Here is a 17,650-nt window from a genome sequence, read left to right as displayed (position 1 = left end):
GCTATTCATTTTCTGTTTGTTCCATGTGAGTTTTTTACTATTGTTGTTACCGTTCTTAGGGTTCCCCCTCCAACTCCCCTGCTTTTTTGGCATCAATTATTTTTTTAGAATTCCATTTCATCTTTCTTTGTTGACTTCTTAGCCATTCCTTTTTTTTTCTTTTAATAGTTTCATTAGGGTTTATAACACAACTTTAACACATCACTTTCAAATTATGTATAAAGTACCACTTCATATCATATATAAAGTGATTTCTTTTTCCTTCCTTCCTTCCTTCATTCCTTCCTTCCTTCCTTCTTTTTCTTTTTTTTTTTTTTTTTTTTTTTGAGATAGGGTCTCACTCTGTTGCCCAAGCTGGAGCACAGTGGTGCGATCTTGGCTTACTGCAACCTCGCTTGCTTCAAGCGATTCTAATGCTTTAGCCTCTTGAGTAGCTAGGATTACTGGCAGGCACCACCACGCCTGGCCAGTTTCTGTATTTTTAGTAGGGACGGGGCTTCACAATGTTGGCCAGGCCGATTTTGAACTCCTGACCTCAAGATCCACCTGCCTCTGCCTCCCAAAGTGCTGGGATTACAGGCGTGAGCCACCGCGCCGGCATAAAGTGATTTTTAATTCAGTTCCATTGTGGGTTAGAGAAACTTACAACACCATACACAATTTTCCATCCCTACCTTTATGCCTTGTCTTACATTTATTTCCACATTGTTGTAAATTTCACAGTGCATTATGTTTACTTTAGTCAAGTCATCTTCTAAAGAGATTAATAAAAAAATATGCCTTGTATATTTATCCACAAGTACCATTTTTTGTTCTCCTCATTCCTTTTTTAGATCCAGATATCTATCTGGTATCATTTTTTCTTCAACTTGAAGAACTTTAAAATTTTTACGTGATCCTGCATACGAGTTGAATGTGCTCATATTTGCATTTAAAATGGGCACTAAATACAGATAAGTGTAAAATTTCTGCTAATAGCATAATTTTCTTTGTTTACTTAAAACAATGTTAAATAGAAAATTTAAAAAAAACCCCACAAGTTGAAAGCAAGGCTGCAGAAGAAAAGAAAAAACTTTATGTGTACCTTTAAAGGCACTTTTACTGCCTTTTGAACAGGGATCTCACATTTTCAATTTGTACTTGGACTCATAAATTATGTCACTGGCTCTGAATGCAGGCCTGCTGTTGACAAATTTTTACAGCTTATGTTTAACTGAAAGCATTTTTATTTCACCTTCATTTTGAAGATTGTGTCTAGAATTCTAGATTTGCAGTTGTTGGTTTTTTTCCTAGCACTTTAAAAATTTTCCTTGTTTTCTGGCTTACCTTGTTTCCCCTGTATATATATTTTTTTTCTCTGACTTCTTAAGAATTTTCTCCTTATCACTGGTTTTTAGCAACTTGGTTATGGTTTTCCTTGTGGCTTTCTTTGTGTTTATCCTGTTTGGGGTTTGTTGAGCCTCTTGGATCTTTGGGTTTAGAGTTTTCATCAAATTTAGAAAATTTTCATCTGTTATTACTTGAAATATTTGTCCCCACTCCCGACCCCTTCATTTCTGCGACTCCAGTTATATGTAGGGTAAAGCAAAACCACTTGATGTTGTCCCAGTGAAGCTCTGTTTTTCATCTTTGTTTTAGCTTTTTTTCTTCACTTTGTGCTTCAGGCTTTTTAAAAACAGTTTCTATTGCTACTTATTCAACTTTATTGGTCATTCCTTCTAAAACAACTAAAATCTGCTATTCAACACATCCAGTGAATTTTTCATTTCAGATAGTATATTTTTAAGCTCCAGAAGTTTTATTTGTTGTCTTTTTTAAATATCTTCCATTACTCTACTTATGTTCATGTTTTCCTTCAAATTTATGAAAATATTTATAATAGCTGAATTGAAGTCCCTGTCTGCCAATTCCATCATGTCTGTTGTTTTGGTTCGATTTCTCTTATTTTGTATTATTTTGGTTCTACTTTTTTTTTCTCTTTTTTGAGACAGAGTCTCGCTCTGTTGCCCAGGCTGGAGTGCAGTGTCACAATCTCGGCTCACTGCAAGCTCCGCCTCCCATGTTCTGGCCATTCTCCTGCCTCAGTCTCCCGAGTAGCTGGGACTACAGGCACCCGCCACCACTCCCGGTTAATTTTTGTATTTTTAGTAGAGATGGGGTTTCACCGTGTTAGCCAGGATGGTCTCGATCTCCTGACCTCATGATCCGCCTGCCTTGGCCTCCCAAAGTGCTGGGATTACAGGCGTGAGCCACCACGCCTGGCCCGGTTCTACTTCTATTGATTGATTTTTCTCCTGGGTATAGGTCTCATTTTCAGGTTTCTTTGTATGTTTAGTAATTTTGATTAGATGACGGACATTTTATTTTATTTCATTTTATTTTTTTTAATTTATTTTTTGAGATGGAGTCTTGCTCTGTCGCCAAGGCTTGAGTGCTATCTTGACTGACTGCAACCTCCTCCTCCTGTGTACAAGCAGTTCCCCTCCCTCAGCCACCCCAGTAGCTGGGATTACAGGCATGTGCCACCACATTCAGCTGATTTTTGTATTTTTAGTAGAGATGGGGTTTCGCCATGTTTGCCAGACTGGTCTCAAACTTCTGACCTCAGGTGATCTACCCACCTTGGCCTCCCAAAGTGCTGGGATTACAGGCATCAGCCACAGTGCCCAGACATTTTAAATGTTACATTGCTGGGTGTCTGGATTTAGTTGTCTTCATGTAAAAATTATTGAATTTTGTTTTTGTGAGTACTTAAATTTCATAAGAATCAACTTAATCCTTGTTAGGGTGGCTCTAAGATAGTCTTTACTCTAGGGTTAATTTCATCCTGCTGGTAAATCATGACCTCTTGTTTCTCTTCTGAATTACCTGGGCATTCAATGAGGTTGCTCCTCTGTTGTTGGACTTTGAAGGTTTCCCAGAGCTAGTGAACCCTGGGTTAGCTTAAAAATCTCCCATAGTTTTTCTTTCTCCACTAGTTGTTTGTTGTCTAGCCTCATGTAGTATTATCCTATGCATTAGCAACTTAGTATTCAACCAAAGATTCAAGGGGACTCTATGTAGATTTCTGGAGCTTTTTCTCTATGTTGCTCTCTTTTCTGATACTGTGCCCTGAAAATTCCATTTGCCTCAGTCTCCATATTCCAATCTTGTTATCCTCAACTCGGTAAGGTTGCCATGTCTGTTTGGGTTCTCCCTCCTGACCCTACTTTCTGGAGTTTCCAGGGAGAAAGCTGGGCCATCATAGGACCTGCCTCATTTTCCTCTCTTCTTTCAGGGATCACAATCTTAAGCTGTCTGTTATCCAGTATCTGAAAGCACTTATTTTATATATTTTTCCAGTTTTATAGTTATTGATGTGGGAAAGGCAAGCCTAGTTCAGCTACTCCATCATGGCCAGAAGTGAAGTTTCCCTGGTCCCTTTCATAAATTTTCTTTTCTTTTCTTTTCTTTTTTTTTTTGAACGAATCTCGCTCTGTCGCCAGACTGGAATGAAGTGGCGCGATCTCGGCTCACTGAAGCCTCTACCTCCCGGGTTCAAGCGATTCTCCTGCCTCAGCCTCCTGAGTAGTAGCTGGGATGACAGGCGTATGCCACCATGCCCAGCTAATTTTTAGTAGAGATGGGGTTTCACTGTGTTGGCCAGGATGGTCTCAATCTCTTGACCTCATGATCCGCCCGCCTCAGCCTCCCAAAGTGCTGGGATTACAGGCGTGAGCCACCACGCCCAGCCAGTTTTCTTTTTAATTAAGGTAAAATTCACTATTTTTACAGTGTACCCCTTCATTATTTTGTAAATCAGGTTTTAGAATGTTCCAAATTCTTCCAAGTTATTTTTCCAGATGCTTATATCTAATCAAATAAAATATTTTAAAAGATTTGGAGTGAGAAACTTGCCCTATCCAAGACTTGAATTGGTAAAATAGAACATCAGTATCCTCTTTCCCAAAGAGAATTTAATTTACTGGAGTGAATTCAGATTGGTTTCTCTTAATATGTTAAAAACACAGAATTCTATATATGATAGGTTATGTTATAAATTATATTTTAAGCTGATAAACTACAGTTGGTATATTTCTTGGATGAAAATAAATACACAGAAGAGCAATAGAAAATAAAAAGAAAGGGACATGATTAAGAGTCATCTCCAAGTATGCTGTTTGATTATGCTTCTAAAAATCATGCTTGGCCAGGCACAGTGGCTCACGCTTGTAATCCCAGCACTTTGGGAGGCTAAGGCGGGTGGATCACCTGAGGTCAGGAGTTCGAAACCAGCCTGGCCAACATGGTGAAACCCTGTCTCTACTAAAAACATAAAAAACTAGCTGGGTGTGGTGATGGGCACCTGTAATCCCAGCTACTCAGGAGGCTGAGGCGGGAGAATTGTTTGAACCTGGGAGGCGGAGGTTGCAGTGAGCCGAGGTTGCACCATTGCACTCCAGCCTGGGCAACAAGAGCAAAACTTCATCTCATAAAAGAAAAAAGTCATGCTTGAGTTTTTATGTTTATACTTCTATTGTTCAGGTGAGGAACTGAATGACCGCTGTTGTTTCTTTTGTTGAGATTGTCCATTGTGGTTATGTGTGCTCTACCTTCTCTTTTTGTGAATCCTACCTGACTTCAATAGTTTTTAATAGCTGGAAAAGTCTCTGACTCATTTCCTGCTGTTAAAAGAAAAGACAAAATGATTTTTAAAATTGTTGAAACTGTTAGATTTTCTCAACCTCTGTTTCTGTTGGAACTGTTAAAGCAAGCTTGAGAAAGCAGTCTCTAGGACAAGTATACAAATAAGTTGGCTTTAGGAAGTTTTCAAAAGATAAATCTTGGGAGAGATCTAGGATTTGAAAGTTGGGCCAGCACTTAGGAGTTAGGATGTCTACCAATAATGGAGGTTAAGGCAAGAAACTGGGAAGATGAGGAATGGGATGAATAAGATCTTGCAGGCTAGGAGAGCCATGGGAGAGGAGGCGCTGAGGAGCAAGGTGGCTCAGAATATAATTAGGTTAAAGGGACAGATGTGAGGTTCCTGTAAGAAAATAACTGAAGTGAGCAACTCTTATTTTTACACGGGACAAAATCACAACCTGTATGTGAGAACACGCAAGCCACATTATAAAGGGTATAAGTTAATTTGGCAAAAATTGGGACTGTGAAATCAGCTCTAAGAAAGATTTTCTGTGTTATCAGTAACAGTCATAGATCTAGTTAAAATTCATTAAAGTGCTTTTATTTTTGAAATAGTTCATTTTTCGAAAGCTATCATGTATTAAAGCATACATTTAGGAGAAAGAAAATACCTACATATTTTAGGAGAGTCTTACCCTGCTGTGCTACTCTGTTCAACTGAAACACCATCAGTACACATCATTTATATTTGTGTGTGAATTCCGTAGATTTAGCCATTTGTTGCCAGTCATTTGACTTTTACCTTTTTTTTTTTTTTTTTGAGTTGGGGTCTCGCTCCATCACCCAGGCTAAATTGCAATGCTGTGATCATAACTTACTGCAGCTTCCAACATCTGGGCTCAAGCAGTCCTCCTGCCTCAGCCTCCCAGCTTGTAGCTGGGACTACAGGTACATGCCACCATGCACAGCTAATTTTATTTATTTATTTATTTATTTAGTAGAGATGAAGTCTCACTATATTGCCCAGGCTGGTCGCAAACTCCTGGCCTCAAGTGATGCTCCTGCCTCAGCATCCTAAAGTCCTGGGATGACAAGTATGAGCCACCACACCCAGCCATGTTGCTAGTAATTTTCAAGTTAAAATTTTTTTTTAGCCCTGACAATTTTCATTTTTTTTTCTCAATTTGAGCCATTCACACTTAAGACACATTAACCAGAGAAAAATAAAGAAAGGGTTAACCAGGACCACCAAAAACCTCTAGGGACTTCCCAGGAGCTGGAGAAAAAAGTCCTGTCTTGTCTATAGTGAAGAAAACCTGAGTCTCAAAGACACCCTAAAATCCTAGGAATTCCTTATAAATACCAGAAGCAAGAAAAGAATTTTCAGTTTTAATAATCAACAGTAGCAGATTAGATCTTTAAATTGTATGCATTAGTTTTTTATCAAGAGTTCTGTGCAACAGTTTTGGTGCTTTGGGCTTTGGGTATAGTTATTTTTTTTCATCCACATGAGCTTAATTTCTTAAAGTTTTTTGGATTTTTTTTTTTTTTTTTTTTGCGTCAGACTATCACCAAAGTTTATTTGCTGGCAAAGCTGGTTTTCCCAGAAATTTGTATGTAGGAATGGTTTAAATAAAAGTTGATGGAATTCTTAGTTAGCAGTTGCTCTGCCAAGAATAACACTTTTGTGTGCTTTCTGTATATAACAGTTTTGGTCAGCTATACTGACAGAGCTGGGCTAAGATATTTTCCTGCCTGTTAATCAAGGCCACACAGACAAAGCTCAAGGAAGGATGATCCCTGCCTCAGGAAGTTTTGAATCAACTGCTATTTTTAACAAGTATACAGTAGAACTTGAGATCAGGTCTTCACTCAGTTGGTAGGAAAAGTTTTCCGCTGAAGCTTACATATAAGGAAACGGTTTATGGGCCTGAATGAAGCCTCTGTGTGAAAGGAAGGAATGTGACAGTGGCTGTAAGTATTTGTATTGATTTGGGTCAAGGGTGTGGTAGCATAGATGTGGGAAGTCCAGTCGTCAAATAGGTTATTACATTTTAAGGCAACTGATAGTTCATGGGCACCTTGAGTTGTCTTTAGTGTATATGGAATCCTGTGCTGCTAATAGTAAAGTTGAAATAGGCTATGTGATGGGCTGATATTATTAATCAACGTAGGACAGGAGGAGAAAGTTGGCTATTGGTGTGTTTCCATGCTAACTGGCTCTTGCTGTGGACATATATAAATTTTGGGGGGGTTTTGAGATGTAATTCTGTGTATATATATGCTCCTTGTTTCATTAAGAGAAGGTTTCATAAAGAATTAATTTATGCCTGGGTGCGGTACCTCATGCCTGTAATCCCAGCACTTTTGGAGGCCAAGGGGGTGGATTGCTTGAACTCAGGAAGTTCAAGACCAGCCTGGGCAACATGGAGAAACTCCGTCTCTACGAAAAATACAAAAACTTAGTTGGGTGTGGTGGCATGTACCTGTAGTCACAGCTACTCAGGAGGCTGAGGGGGAAGATCACTTGAACCCAGGAGGCAGAGGTTGCAGTGAGCCAAGATCACCACCACTGCACTCCAGACTTAGTGACAGAGCGAGACTCTGTCTCAAAAAAAAAAAAAAAAAAGAATTAATTTATTACAAAAATATTGTATACTGCTATGTATAATCTCTTCTAAAACCTCATTCTACCTAACTTTAGGAAATTAAATATGGCAGAACATTAAAGCTGACAATCTGAAAAATACCACAAATAATGTTTTGTTAGTATTATTATCTCACCATCTTAGGAGTGCCTTTATGTAGTTGAATTACTTAATAGATTACAGGTATGTTTTTACATATGCAATGTATATGAATTATGTAGGGATAGGTGGGCAATGTTTTAGTGGAGTTTTAAATTAGGAAATTATAAAATGTGTTAACATATTTTTGTGTCATTTTAACAGGATTATTCAAGATCAGGTTGTAGCCATTTTCAACAAGGATCACTGATCAAAATTTTCTTTTTACAAAGAGATTTACAAGTTAAACATGAAGGGAAAATACTGGAATCATTTGGATTCTGACAGGATAAAGAATACAATATTTCACATTTACTTGTAATGGAACCTTTGTAAGATTCATCACTTGTCATTCACCCAGTTGGGAACATGGATGTTGGTTTTTCTCGTACTACTGTTCAGACACTGTCAAGAAGCCACTGCAAAAACATCAAACAAAAAATTTCTCAATGGGAAGGAAGGGCTAATGGTATATCTAATCCAGAAAAGTGGTGTCCAAAGGACTTTGGAGTGAGATATAACTGTCACCAAGAGATCCGTCTTAAGAAAAATCCTATAGCTGAGAGAAAGAGCAAAAACTTGGATGTAACCAGCCGTGAAAATGTGGGTCTAGATATAAATGAAAATACCAAAAGCCATGATCAAAGTGAGAATGAAAATAAGAAACATGAATATGACGATACACACTTCTTTAAAAATGAATCAGAATCCAACTGGGTATGTTCTCGGGTCAAAGAAATTGAAAGCTGTAAAGAAGATGTCTTAGATCCAGAGACTTCATTACCTCCAGGAAACTTCTATACCTCACAAATACTGTGGAAGAAAATAGAAGCACTTCCCCCAGATAAACTCTTAAATTTGGCTTTAGAACATTGTGACTCTTCAGAAAAAGAACTGAACTTCAGAGTTCTGGATAGTTCATACGGAATAACCAAGAGCTTAGAAAATATTTACTCTGAACCTGAGGGGCAAGAATGTGGACCTTCCATAAATCCTTTGCCAAAACCTCGTAGGACATTCAGATATTTATCCGAATCTGGTGTTACGCCGTATAAAGAAAGAAACTGTGACAAAAAATACTGTGAAAATAACTCTTGTGCACAATCTTCTTTGGCCTCTTCTCAGGAACCTGAACCAAAGAAATATGGTGGAAAAATCAGAGGAAGATCTAAAAGGTATGTTTTTATCCTACAGATAAAGACTTGTAGGTATTTTCCTTACAGGATTATTGAGCTTCTTTTTCCTTTTCAAACCAGTTTCCATTTCCCAGCTTAGGTGATGCCCCTGCTTTGAACATGCAGGTGTTGATTAATGTGGAAGGAAAATAAGAAGTGAAAAAAGTAGAAATGTAGTAATAGCTAAGATAATCTGTTGACATAAGAGCATCAGAACACCTTCCATTTTATTAATATATCTTTAAGAATCTGGGCCAGCGCCAGGCACGGTAGCTCGCTCCTGTAATCCCAGCACTTTGGGAGGCTGAGGCTGGCAGATCACTTGAGGTCAGGAGTTCAAGACCAGCCTGGCCAACATGGTGAAACCCTGTCTCTACTAAAAATACAAAATTAGCTGGGCGTGGTGGTGTGCACCTGTAGTCCCAGCTATATGGGATGCTGAGGCAGAAGAAACGCTTGAACCTGGGAGGCTGAGCTTGCAGTGAGCTGAGATCGTGACACTGCACTTCAGCCTGGCTGACAGAGCAAGACTCAGTCTCAAAAAAAAAAAAAAAGAAAAAAAGAAAATTAATCTATAGGAGCTGGGTGTGGTGGCTCAGTCCCAGCACTTTGGGTGGCTGGGGCAGGAGGATCACTTGAGGCCAGGAGTTCAAGACCAGCCAAACACTAGACAGGGCAACATAGTGAGACCCTGTCTCTATAAAAAAAAAGAAAAAAGAAAAAATTAGCCAGGTGTAGTGATGTGTTCCTGTCGTCCTACCTACTTGCGAGTATTACTTGAGCCCAAAAGCTCAGGCTACAGTGAGCCATGATCACTTCACTGCACTCCAGCCTGGGCAGCAGAATGAGACCCTGCCTCTAAAATAACATAAAATAAAAATTAAATTCAAAAAAATCTGTAGGGAAGCAGTAACATTCTTCCACTTCATTTAGGGCATGCTGGCCTCAGCCCCACTTTTCCTTACAAAGTGAGCTTAATAAAGGAACCCAATGAAGAACATGAATGTGATTGGCTACAAGCATCCAATTTTCTCATGGTGTTCGTAAGGCACAGCCTACTTCATTATTCTTAGATCTCTGATAAAACACCTTTGTAATTTTGCACACTAGTTCTGTACTTATTTATTTCTGTCTCCCATACCAATTTAAAGAAGATTAGAATTTTCTGTAATCCTAGCACTTTGGGAGGCCGAGGCAGGCAGATCACCTGAAGTCAGGAGTTCAAGACCAGCCTGGCGGTCATGGTGAAACCTCATCTCTACTAAAACACAAAAAAGAGCTGAGCATGGTGGCACGCGCCTCTAATCCCAGGTGCAACATCCCTACAGCAATGTAGAATCGCTTGAACCTGGGAGGCAGAGGTTTCAGTGAGCCAAGACTGTGCCACTGAACTCTAGCCTATGCAACAGACTGAGATTCTGTCTCAAAAAATAATAATAAAACAAACAATCAAACAAATAAATAAATAAAAATTTTAAAAAATAAAGATTAGAGTTTTGAAAGATATAACTTTAAAATATATCTCCTTTTTTAAGGAAATCCTTTGAATTTGAGGATATTCAGCACTTTCGAAATCGGAACTCACAGACGATTCGTGAAGAACTTGGAAGAAATTCTGGGTCAGCACTTTATTACACACAGTCTGAGGACAATATCTATGAAGATATCATATGTAGGTGTTGACAACTTTGCAGTTAAATTTAGTGATTATATATTTGGTGAAGCCCTTAATTGTAGGATGGTATTTTCTTCTATAATCAAGCATATATTGCTCTAGGTTTTTCTCTTTAGCATGGAAACGTTTGGTGTATAAATTATTTTATTCTCTAATGAATTTTACAACTAATGTGATAGACTGCTCAGCTTATAAGTACATGTTTATAATATATTATTTTGAGAATTCTTTTAGCTCTGTTGAACCCATAAGCTTAAATTGCTGTTGATCTGGAAACCCACATCCCTACAGCAATGTAGAATAAGAAAGCTGAACATAGTTAGCTTTTTCTTTCTTTTGCCAGCTGTGGTTATCTTTGCATTTAATTATGTTCATGTAAACATTTTTTTAAATTATTTTTTAAGATCCCACCAAAGAAAATCCATATGAAGATATTCCAGTGCAGCCTTTACCTATGTGGAGATCCCCTTCAGCATGGAAGCTACCACCCGCTAAAAGTGCTTTTAAAGCACCCAAGGTATAACCAGATAATGAATTGAAGAAAACATTAGAATCTTATTCATGGTATCTACAAAAAGATTAAGGGGATTTAACTGGGTCCAGAACTAAGAGGCACTGAAATGTAAGTTTTAATGTTGGTGGTAGTTTTTTTAATTTTTGTTTTGTTTTTTGGGATAACATACAGCTTTTTTTTTTTTTTGGTTGTTGTTTTAACACTTCAAAAATAATTGAATATATATGCCTTTAGACAGCCATGAACTTTTCAGTTTACTATAGTTCCCACTCCCCCTATTAGTCTACATCAATCTTTGGCCATTAAATTACCTTCCTAGTCCCTGAAAGTATGTGAGACGCCTAGAAGCAAAGGCTCCCTAGAGTTCATGAAAACTGTGAGCCATTGTTTTCTGGGAATTTGATTACCTTGTAGTGGAACTTTGGATTAGAAACCTGAGAAACTTCTTTACAAATGGTGAGAAAGAAATTATGTTATCTTCATTTGAAATGATTTTAAATTAAATATAGGATAAATACATTTCTGGAATAGCTTTGACTTTGTATGATAATACAGGCATTAACTAGATGATGCTGGCCAGGTGCAGTGGCTCACACCTGTAATCCCAGAACTTTGGGAGGCTGAGGTGGGAGGATTGCTTGAGCCCAGGAGTTTGAGACTAGCCTGGGCAACCTGGCAAAACCCCATCTCTACCAAAAAAAAGAAAAAATTAGCCGGATGTGGTGACACGTGCCTGTAGTCCCAGCTGCTCAAGGGGCTGAGGTGGGGGGATCACTTGAGCTCAGGAGATCAAGGCTGCAATGAGCCATGATCGTGCCACTGCATTCCAGCCTGGGCGACAGAGCAAGACCCCATCTCAAACAAACAAACAAGCAACAACAGCAAAACTAGGTGATCTTACCAGTACATCTTCTCCTGTTTTAGCTCCCTCCAAAACCTCAGTTCCTTCACCGGAAGACTATGGAAGTAAAGAACTCACAGGCTTATTTGCGGTCAAAGCTTACAAAAGATACAACTTTGCCGGTCACTTTAACGGAATGGAAGCTTTTCCGAGCTGGTGAAGTTGCAAACACGAAAAGGAAAAATCTTCCAAGGGTAAAGACTCCAGTGCTTTCATTCTTTGACTCTTACTTCAGCATTTCCATGAATGAGAATAAGTAAACTTTAGACCGAAATGAATAATAGGTTAGAACTGACCTACTGGGATTAGAAGACTTAGAAGGCAGCGTTATGTTTTAAATTTTTGCTCATGCTAGAGAAGTGCATGAATGGCTTTTGCCAGAGTTTCGTTGTGGATTTTTAAATTGATTTAGATGGGGACTTCACTTCAGTTACCTTAGCTCTCATTAAAATCGTCTGCCTATTTCAAGGAAGCACCAGAATCTTATATAAAAGGGCGTTCTCTCAGGATGGCTTCAGTGTTGTTCTAATTCACTCATTCATATGATTGCCAAAGTGAGTTCAGTTTTGTGCTTGAGTTTACAGATTTTCAGTAATGAAAAAGTATATGCCATTTATTTGGGGCAAAAATTTCCAAAGAAAAAAACAAATCTATTACTTGGGAATGGAAATTATCAGCAATCATAATAAATAAATGACTTCTCCCTCAAGGGAGAAAAGGCAGTAAGTCTGTACATCATCTCTACTAGAAGCATTGCAACCAAAATGAAGAAATTGAGATTGCTTGCAGGCAGACATATATTTTTTTTTCTTATTTATTTACTTATTTTGTAGAGACAGAGTCTCGCTATATTGCCCAGGCTGGTCTTGAACTCCTGGCCTCAAGCAATCCTCTTGCCCTGGCCCCCAGAGTTCCGGGACTGCAGGTGTGAGCCACTGCACCTGACTAATAGACATTTTCTTTTGGGAGAAACACTTAAGAAATTATATGAAAAAATTTTAAACTTTCTCTGTTACTTTGTTCTTCTGTAATGCAGGGTGTTTTCAGGATTGTCAAAATACTATGCACATACTCTGCTGTAGTGAAGAAATCAGATCACTTAAATATTATTCCTTCTTTAATCCCATCTGAATTAGCTATATGTGTTCATTTAACATGTAATTTTTGTACCTGATTTTAACATTAAACAAAAGTCACATCTGTTTCTTGGGTTAGTAACTGTTGATTTGTTCCTTGGGAAATATTCTATTCCACAGTTTTAATTCTTATCAGTTTTCTGCCCCTTCCTCTTTACTATGTGAAAAGTTAAAGACATAGAGGTTTTTTAAAGCTAAACTGATCTCTCTTAGTGAAAAAAAAAATGTAACTGTTTATCTTTCTGTGCATCATGAGGAATATTTTTTTAAAAAGAGTCTTAAAGAACTGCCAGGCATCTTGCAGTAGCTGCGCCCTCTGGTAGATCATGTTGGCACAACAAAGCAGCCTCCCACATGGCCCAGCAACAACAAATTGTGTGTTAATAGGGAGAAGAATGCAAACACCTTAAGGGATTGCATTTAAGATGTGGTTCTTATAATGGCATTAACAAATATTTAGGAATTATGGATTATAGAGTTTAATGAGACCCAGGGAAGCTTTATAGTGCTTTCGATTTCTTGCCTCAATGTTTTATGTATTATGGATCTCAAGTACTCAAAACTTGTTCTGTATCTGATTGTAGGTGATAGGATCTAACTTTTCCCTTTCTAATATTTTTTCTGAAGGTTTTTGGAGAAGTGAGGAGAAAAAAATGATTATGAATTCTTAATTGTCAGGCAGGAACAAGCCATGACAGCATTTCTACCTGTGACCCTCCTTGGATTGAATCTTTTTAGGATGTCCCTTATGCAATACAAATTTTGGCTTTGGAGTATCTTCTAGAAAACATTCTATAAGAAAGTCCATTTTCATTTATTTCCCCTTTAATGCCTCCAGCTGTCCCTGGAAGGGAAACTGCTTCACAGTTTCACCTCACTGATCTAGTCCATTTGCCTCTTCCCCACTCTTCCTTTCCTTCCCTGCTGTGGAAGCCTGTGTGGGATTGTTTGCTAGAGTACATTTCCTACTACCTTTATTGTTTGTGTTGTGTGTACAGCAGTATGATTTCCGTCATTTCTTAGGAAGAATATTCTACAGTATTTCTTGTAACTAGAAGGCTCTTCTTCCTAGCTCATGACAGAAATTTAAATTTATCACTTTATCGCATAGTTTTAGAACAGTTATCTTTCCTTTATACTTGAATATACTTTTGATTCTACTTTTCAAATGCAAATTAATAATTATGCTATTTTGGGTCATTATGTAACCCAAATATATATTTATTTCCATACATCTTTCCTATAGCCCTTAGTACTTTTTTATTTTAGATTCTCTTGTTTTTTGTAATAGTAATATTTAAGAACATTGGCAATTTTTCACTTGAATTGCAGTGATAAAAATCTTTAAGAGCACAAACTCATCCAAAAATGTTGTAATAATCTGTGTTTTGGAAGCATATGTTTCTTGCATGTTTTTTGGGGGGTGAGTGGTTGGCAGGGGACAGTGGTTTGCACTGGACTGATTCATTGCCTGTCGATTGTCAGGATGGCTAGAGAAACAAGGACAAAAGAGAATACAAGAGCGTTTTTCTCGGGCAACTTTATTGGTTGTTATCATATATAATGTTCCTAACAATTGTAATTCTAGGCATTAAGTATGTTAAATCAGGACTAATACTTAAGAAAAGCTTGGAATTTTAAGAAAAAAAGAAAAGTATTTATGGAAAAACTGATCAATTCCTCCTTTTAAAAGTACCTGTTGATCAGCTCCGAATCTTTCCTCTTTTTTACCGCATTCTGTGTGTGTCTCCTGTCTGTTTCTCTTACACACACACACATCTCTCCCAGTAGCAAAGAAAAATTTCTAATGAGTAATACTTATGAAATGGAGAGAAGCAATTATATAACAATTTAAAAATAAATAGTCTGGATTTTACTTGCTTGAGAAATAGATTGATGAGTGGAAGAAAAAACATAGTTTTTGTATTTGAGTATATTTGGCTCTCCTAATTTTATGACATATTTCTAAAATAAATTATAATGTTAGTACTCTTAGAATATTCCCTTTGACAAAAGCTTTCTAAGTATGTTTATCTGCTCCTTGGGAAGAATTTCTGGGAGCAGAAATAACTATACCTCACCCTGCCTTTCAGATAAATGAGTGTTCCACTTCCTACTCCAGGCAAGTGAAAACTTGAGTTTAATAGTAAAGGCTTGATCACTATACAAAGGGCAATAGCCACATTTCCTGCATGTTGTGACATGGAGTGACAAGGAATCTAAAAGCCTGTGCTGGGTTCATCCAATATCCTTTCCTGCTTTCCTTCCCCATGTTATGTGAACTTGGTATTAGAACAACATATCATCTAATTAAAGATCATCATTTTAAATCCAAAATTCAAAAAGGTAAAGGTTTCTATTTATAAAATAGGTCTTTTCTCTGAATAAGAATCCCTAATAGATTAATGTCATCAAACTGTGAAACTTTTGGGTGTTGGTCTTAATTTGTATTTTTCTGGTCTTTTTTCAGCTTGTATTGAAAATAGATGACATATTTGAATCTAAAAGAGGGAAGAAGAAGGTAAAGTTACATTCTTACACTGGAAAGGAATTACCTCCGACAAAAGGTAAGAATTGTTTTTCGTTCCAGCTATCCTGTAGCTGTCAGGATATGAGAGGAGAATCACCATATAACTTAATGTTTGATGTGTATTAAAAATTTTGGGGCCGGGCGTGGTGGCTCACACCTGTAATCCCAGCACTTTGGGAGGCCAAGGCGGGTGGATCACAAGGTCAGGAGATCGAGACTATCCTGGCTAAAACGGTGAAACCCTGTCTCTACTAAAAATACAAAAAATTAGCCAGGCGTGGTGGCGGGCGCCTGTAGTCCCAGCTACTCAAGAGGCTGAGGCAGGAGAATGGCGTGAACCCGGGAGGCCGAGCTTGCAGTGAGCTGAAATCGCACCACTGCACTCCAGTCTGGACGACAGAGCAAGACTCCATCTCAAAAAAAAAAAAAAAATTTGGTTTACTTTCCTGTTATCCCACTTAAGCATAAACTTCTTTAAGATAAGGGATTGTTTCTCAAATCCATTTTATTTTATTCTCTGCCAAGTAATAACTATTGGATGAACAAATAAATGAATGAAAAAATAATCATAAACCATTGAGACTAAATTTCATAGACAAATTGAATCACTATTACTTTGATTTATAATCATTTATCAGTATAGACTCTTTTGTTGTAGCTAGGAAAACATTAGTCTTTTTTTTTTTCTCTGAGGATATTTTAAAATTTTTCAATCTGTTCTTCAGACTGGATAATTTATATTGATTTATCTGGTTTTTTTTTTTTGACTGAAGGTATGTGGTACTCAACTTGTAGTCATTTAATAAGTATTATCCTGGCCAGGTGTGGTGGCTTACGCCTGTAATCCCAGCACTTGGGAGGCTGAGGCAGGCAGATCACAAGGTCAGGAGTTCGAGACCAGCCTGACCAACATAGAGAAACCTGTCTCTACTAAAAATACAAAAATTAGCTGGGCGTGGTGGCGTGTGCCCATAATCCCAGCTACTCAGGAGGCTGAGGCAGGAGAATCACTTGAACCCAGGAGGCAGAGGTTGCAGTGAGGTGAGATCGCGCCACTGCACTGCAGCCTGGGTGACAGAGTGAGACTCCATCTCAAAAAAGAAAAAAAATAATAAGTTTTATCCTTCAGATGCCTAGATAAAACTTACATTGTTAATTAAGAAATTGTCAACATTCATAATAAATCATTAGAACTTTCTTAAAAACTTACGCAAGATTCTTAACTTGGTTGTCTGGGGATATGGTTTGGCTGTGTCCCCACCCAAATCTCAACTTGAATCATATCTCCCAGAATTCCCATATGTTGTGGGAGGGACCCAGGGGGAAGTAATTGAATCATGGGGGATGGTCTTTCCCGTGCTATTCTCATGAGAGTGAATAAGTCTCACGAGAACTGATGGGTTTATCAGGGGTTTCTGCATTTGCTTCGTCTGATTTTCTCTTGCTGCCACCATGTAAGAAGTGCCTTTTGCCTCCCACCATGATTCTGAGGCCTCCCTAGCCATATGGAACTGTAAGTCGAATTCAGCCTCTTTTGCTTCCCAGTCTCACGTATGTCTTTTTTTTTGAGATGGAGTTTTGCTCTTGTTGCCAAGGCTGGAGTGCAATGGCATGATCTCGGCTCAGTGCAACCTTTATCTCCTGGGTTCAAGGGATTCCTTTGCCTCAGACTCCCAAGTAGCTGGGATTACAAGTGCCTGCCACCACACCCGGCTAATTTTTTGTATTTGTAGTAGAGACGGGGTTTCATCGTGTTGGCCAGGCTGATCTTGAACTCCTGACCTCAGGTGATCCACCAGCTCAGCCTCTCAAAGTGCTGGGATTACAGACATGAGCCACCATGCCCAGCCTTGGGTATGTCTTTATCAGCAGTGTGAAAATGGACTAATGCATCTGGCAAATATGTAGAATTTAGCAGTTTTTGTTTATAAGTTCCTTAGTGAGAAACACCAGCTAAGTCATAGCAGAGGAGAATGTTTCTTCTTTTTGCAGACTTCTAAAGACAGAATTTTCTTTTTTTTTTTTCTTTTGGATACAGAGTCTCACTCTGTCACCCAGGCTGGAGTGCAGTGGTGCAATTTCAGCTCACTGCAACCTCTGCCTTCTGGATTCAAGTGATTCTCCTGCCTCTTTCTCCTGAGAAGCTTGGGATTACAGGCACACGGCACCACACCCAGCTAATTTTTTGTATTTTTAGTTGAGATGGGATTTCACCATATTGGCCAGGCTGATCTTGAACTCCTGACCTCAAATGATCCACCTGCCTGGGCCTCCCAGAGTGCTAGGATTACAGGCATGAGCCACCAT

The 17,650-nt window shown here is 38.4% G+C and overlaps 1 protein-coding gene across 2 annotated transcripts in view, besides 1 other annotated feature; it reads left to right on the top strand.

The window, feature by feature from the left end:
• DENND2C (DENN domain containing 2C) overlaps positions 1-17,650 on the top strand; it is an 87,200-nt gene that overhangs the window by 36,284 nt on the left and 33,266 nt on the right. Inside the window, exons 4-8 of one of the 2 annotated variants that reach the window (NM_001256404.2) lie at positions 7,578-8,587; positions 10,123-10,259; positions 10,667-10,779; positions 11,701-11,871; positions 15,284-15,380. In NM_001256404.2, coding sequence (NP_001243333.1) covers positions 7,782-8,587; positions 10,123-10,259; positions 10,667-10,779; positions 11,701-11,871; positions 15,284-15,380 — 1,324 coding nt within the window. In that variant the 5' untranslated portion in view covers positions 7,578-7,781. The remainder of the gene's footprint in view (positions 1-7,577; positions 8,588-10,122; positions 10,260-10,666; positions 10,780-11,700; positions 11,872-15,283; positions 15,381-17,650) is intronic. The other variant, NM_198459.4, reaches the window with a different exon arrangement.
• Positions 12,032-12,232: a silencer, noted in NCBI's record as "peak379 fragment used in MPRA reporter construct". NCBI's record gives its function as "represses an SCP1 promoter by STARR-seq MPRAs in K562 erythroleukemia cells {active_cell/tissue: K562}" and the evidence as "EXISTENCE:reporter gene assay evidence [ECO:0000049][PMID:32103011]".

This window comes from Homo sapiens, chromosome 1 (genome assembly GCF_000001405.40).
Source record: "Homo sapiens chromosome 1, GRCh38.p14 Primary Assembly".
In the NCBI taxonomy this organism is placed as follows: domain Eukaryota; kingdom Metazoa; phylum Chordata; class Mammalia; order Primates; family Hominidae; genus Homo; species Homo sapiens.
The sequence above is the reverse complement of the archived record's forward strand: the minus strand, read 5'-3'. Positions and strand labels throughout refer to the sequence as shown.